A 5,608-nucleotide genomic window follows, 5' to 3' on the forward strand; every position below is an offset into this window, starting at 1 on the left:
TTAGATATTCAATATAGTTTTGTAAATTGATTTAGGTAAAGGACTGTATAACTTTGCATTGAGTTTACTTGCATTTTGGTGTTGTGAAAACACGTAAACATCTCAACATATGTTGGTAAAAGAAAAGATAGAAACAATGGTTTTATACCTGGCACTTAGAAGCCATCACATATCTGAATAAGATATCTGAACCCCATTTTTAATGAAATTTTAGCATGTGCTTTTGATACCTCATGTATTTTCCTCAGGCCCACCTCTGATGTGAACTGCAGCTGCATTAGAAAAATCCCATGTTTGCTGATAGCATCCCACATCACATGCTCAACACATATTTCTCTAATTTTCTGCCTCAGGTACTTCTCAGGATTCTGTTCAGCCCACATGGAAATGCAGCCTGAAAGCTTGGAGGGACAATTTTCTGAAATATTCTATGTGGGTCTCGGCTGACAAGATGTAAAAAGCTCAACCTTGTATTGACTCTTCTCCTGAATCTGTCTTACTAGCCCTGTTGCTTCACTTTTTCTCCCTTAGATTGCTTCCATATAAACTACCTGCTTGTTTTAAGCTCCATTTTTTTTTCATGAATGCAAAGGAATATGAAAACTTTTTGAAACTTATTATATAATATTATTTATTCTTTAAACATTTATTGAACACCTATAATGTGCTAGACCCTGTGGTAATTCCTGGAAATGCAAGGAGAAAATGGTCATTTCCTGTGAAATCAGGTAGAATACAGCCCAACAGTAAAACATGACACTAACTAAGTGAAATCATAGTTTAGGGCTATGATAGACCCTCCATGGTGGCACACAGGATGAGAGTGCCTTTTTTGTAAAGTAAGGGGGAGAATTTAGATACGGTGGAGACTACATAAAAGAAATTGAGACTTGAATTAATATAATTCTAGGGCACAGAGCAGGAGAAGGCTAGAAAAAGAAGTCAGAGAAAAGTTAGAATATAAAATAGTCTTACATGCTTGTCCCAGGAAATTTAAGAAATTTTCTAAGAGTATTACCTAGAAAGGTAATTTGGAAAGAGATCATCAAATATCTTATTTCTGGGTTTGTTAGATAAATGAGAATAAATAAATTAATCTATTCTGTGATCCTAAGTTATTTTAACTGAAGACCGACATGTATGTTGAATGTATGCATCAAAACCTGTATACTAAGGTTTATTACCTAATGGAATAAAATGAAGAGCTCAAACACAACTTATTTTGCATTCTGGATGGGTTAGGGTAGCTGAGTAAAGGACTTCAGAGCAGGCACTTTAACGACTTTGGTTTCTATGCACTAATATGTCATGTGGACGTAGCTATTAATACAGAAAGAAGACAAACATATCCTTTATAAAAATGTACAAATTCTCATCTACCTTTTTAGGCAAGAACAATTTCCAAGGCTTGATTGCCTTCTAGAGAAAGACATTTTTACCTTAATTTGACCATAATGTCTTGGAGAAAAGTTTCTTGAAGATGTATACCTATGTGATGGGCATTTTAGTATGTATGTGTATGTGTGTCTGTGTGTGTCCAGGACAAGAATGTGAAAACTGTAGACCATGGGAAATAGGAGATAACATACCTTTACCACACAATGGTGGAGGGACCTCAAAAGGGAATACTCTTGGCAGTCCCATCCTCACAAACCTCGATCACCATGTGTTCTCATTTCAGACTCCAATACTCAAAACTGTGGAAGTTGTACTCCTGTGTGTTTCTGAGACAGTTTTATTTTTCCGGATGAAAAAAGGGTTGTCTGGCCTATGCTAACGCCATCTCTGTTGGTAATACATGGAGTATCCTGATGGATTTGGAAGTTTAAATCATGAAAAATTGAGGGAGGAAGATTAGAGCAGAGTTCAAGACCAGGAACGCTAAGGAAGGGGCACAGCATTGTGGGAAAGGATGTGAGAATCCAGCAGAAGTGCTTACTGCAGGCACGGACCACTGTGGAAAGTAAGGAGTGACACGGGCTGGGCATGGTGGTTCATGCTTATAATCCCAACACTTTGGGAGGCCAAGGCAGGAGGATCTCTTGAGGCAATGAGTTGGAGACCAGCCTTGGCAACATACTGAGACTTCGTCTCTACAAAAAATTGAAAAATTGACCAGATGTGGTGGCATGCGTCTGTTGTCCTAGCTACTCAGGAGGCTTATATGGGAGGATTGCTGGAGCCCAGGAGTTTGAGGCTGCAGTGAGCCATGATTGCACCATTGCATTCCAACCTGGGCTGCAGAGCAAGATCCTGTCTCTAAAAAACAAAATTAAAACAATAAGAAATTTTAAAAAAGTGACAGGCAGGTGCCAAGATATGTGAAGCTCCTTTGGTTTCTGGTTACAATTATTGCTCTCATGATTATATATCTTTATTATTTGCCATGCCCGCTCCTTATTGGTCAGTTGCTAGCTCTAATAGACAAGAAAGATTAGAGAATTATTTACATAAGACCTCACATATAGTTGCTGCTCATTATATATTAGTGGCATCAATATCTAGCTTAGTTATCGATTAAAATAAGTTTGTGATATCTACCTGCAAAAGATAACCAAAATATTCTTATCCATTTAGCATCTGGGCCTCTACATTCCCTGTGTCACTCTGTGCCCCTGCAGCCACAGTGTCAAGGCCTATAGCTGCTCATGGAGTGCTGACAGACTCGCATCCAGCAAGTCTTTGTCTTTTCATACTTAACACATAGAAAGATGGTATTAAATGGATAAATCATATGATTTTAAAATAGCACAAGTCCAGTTTAACTGGGAATGTTTTCCTTGAGGAAGCTTTATTCTTACAAAATTTCAGATAGAGACCATTCTTTGTGGGAACTTACACACTTCTTATAGTTATTTTGGGAACAGATAATTTTCTTTTGTCTCTCGAAGTGACTAGGGAATGAAATATTATACTCTATTTAGCATAACTAAATTAAAAGTGGTGGAATTGTTGGAATGACAGTAAATAATTTCTATATGTATTGTCCATATGTGATATTCATTAAATTCTGCAAGCAAACCACTAAGGCACAGTTGAGTGAAAACACATTTTAATACTTGCTCAACTCCTTACTGTTGTGAAACTGTGAACTTATACCTTTTCTATTATATCCTAATGTTTTTAACACCTAACTCAGAAGGATGATTTGATAATATGAGGAAAACAGCTTGAAATAGTCATGGTTTAATAAATGATGTTGTCTTCTAACTTCCATTTTTGTTTAATAATTTATTTAATAAGATGTCTATTTTTATTATGTATTTGTCAATTTTCTTTTACTATGGTAAGTATAATTTGGATATCAAAATATATAAAATTCCTAACATATTTAATAAGATCTCTTGTTTTATTAAAATCATTTTCAATTTATATATTTCTTAACTTATCCAACAGACAACACTACAGCGTTGAAATTTATACATAGGTAAAGTAAAGCCAGAATAATAAAACGAAGGTGAATATTATTAAATGAGCAATGTAGAATCCAAATTTATTCAATATAATTCCAGAAGACTCCTTTTGGAACAAAAGATGGCAAATATTCATGATTTGTGGTTCATGTTATGTCTTAGACTTGCTAATGTAGAAAATTTGAATATATGACTTGTCAAACATTGATCATATTCATTGTTTTAGCATCTCATAACTGGAAATTTGATGAAATGGTAGTTGAATATGACTTTGATAATGGATTGATATTTTATATCAAGACTTTATTGACTCTAGCTAATAATTAAACACCTACATGCAAGATACTGCATTAAGCACTGTAGAAGATATTTTTAAAAACCAAACCTAAGACATTAAATAAAATTGAAATCACAAAAATCAAAGTTTAAGGGAAAGATACCAGATTTGCACAAGTGTGGATAATTGTAATCATATATGTATTTAGTATAAATTTTGCTTTCACTGATCTATTTTTTTTTTTAATTTTACTTTAAGTTCTGGGATACATGTGCAGAATGTGCAGGTTTGTTACATAGGTAAATGTGTGCCACGGAGGTTTGGTGCACCTGTCAACCTGTCACCTAGGTATTGAGCCCCGCATGCATTACCTATTTGTCCTGATGCTCTCCCTCCCCTCCCCTTCCCCTGACAGGTCCCAGTGTGTGTGTTGTTCCTGTCCCTGTGTCCATTTGTTCTCATTGTCCAGTTCCCACTTATGAGTGAGAACATGTGGCGTTTGGTTTTCTGTTCTTGTGTTTGTTGAGGATGATGGCTTCCAGCTTTATCTATGTCCCTGCAAAGGATATGATCTCGTTCCTTTTTATGGCTGCATAGTATTCCATGGTATATATGTACCACATTTTCTTTATCCAGTCTATCATCCATAGGCATTTGGGTTGGTTCCATGTCTTTGCTATTGTGAATAATGCTGCAATAAACATACATGTGCATGTATCTTTATAATAGAATGATTTATAATCCTTTGGGTATATACCCAATAATGGGATTGCTGGGTCAAATGGCATTTCTGGTTCCTTGAGGAATCGCCACACTGTCTTTCACAATAGTTGAACTAATTTGTGTTCCTATGGGTAGGATCTGTTAAAGCCAATATATAAACTCATTTCAAATAGGGAAATTCAAGGCTCCAGTTTTCTAAGCAGGAAAGCCACACTTTTTCAGATAAAAAATTACTTTTTCAGAAATCCCACAGGAGTTGGAGACAGTGATGCTATTTTGGAAGGTATAACAATTACTGTCACAGAGAATGGTTTTAATTCCCAATAGATGTGGCATTAACACCTTCCATGAAACATAGCAACTGTTTACACCAGTGCATAGCAACAAAACACAACAGAAAGCAAGGACTTGCTTCAAGGTCCAGATCTTTTAAACTTCTATTTTAAGCAAGTTGGATTCATGGAAGTCATTTGCTTGGAACAGTTCTGTAAATGGCAAATAAAACACTCAGTACACATTTGAGTTGCTTAATCTCAGTGTTTGTAGTCTGAACTATGGATTTTAAAAAGTAGTTTGATATTCCCCATCCTACCCAGATTCATTATATATTTACAGCCAGATATAAATTATTTTTTTTCTCTTATTTTTGAAGTCATAATTTTTAACTAGTTTATAAATTTACATTTGAAAAGAAAATAAACATAAAAAATAAGAAAAAAACATGACTAACTCTCCCCCTTGTTACCAAGTCCCATGTCTCATGATCTGATGGAATTAATGACTGTTCATGCTACACACTCCAACCCATTTACAGCTTATAGGAGGCCCTATGGCTAAAGGTGTCCTGAGACCTGCTTGACAAGGAAAACACAAGGTATCTAGGCTGAGGCAGAAAGTTGCATGACCTTTGATTGTTTATTCTTGGGCCATCTCTCTCCTTTCCTCTCTGCTCTGTGTCTTGAACACACCCAAAATTAGGTCTTCAAATTGGCTCTGTGAAGACATTATTGCCACCACCAGTGGACACAAATCCTGCAGTTTTCACTGTGAACCCACTGTCATTAGATGGACTGTGGGCATTGCTTCCAGAACCACTTGACAATTATGTCAAAACCAGGACATGACTGTGACTGCTGACACTGGCTTACCAGACTGAGGTCTGTAAACCCTTGCTTTCCTTGCCTCACTTGTTTCT

The 5,608-nt window shown here is 36.1% G+C and overlaps 1 annotated feature.

The window, feature by feature from the left end:
• Nucleotides 3,962-4,172: a silencer, noted in NCBI's record as "fragment chr13:81300349-81300559 (GRCh37/hg19 assembly coordinates)". NCBI's record gives its function as "represses an EF-1alpha promoter that drives an FKBP-Casp9 reporter gene in an ReSE screen in K562 erythroleukemia cells {active_cell/tissue: K562}" and the evidence as "EXISTENCE:reporter gene assay evidence [ECO:0000049][PMID:32094911]".

This window comes from Homo sapiens, chromosome 13, assembly GCF_000001405.40.
Source record: "Homo sapiens chromosome 13, GRCh38.p14 Primary Assembly".
NCBI lineage: Eukaryota > Metazoa > Chordata > Mammalia > Primates > Hominidae > Homo > Homo sapiens.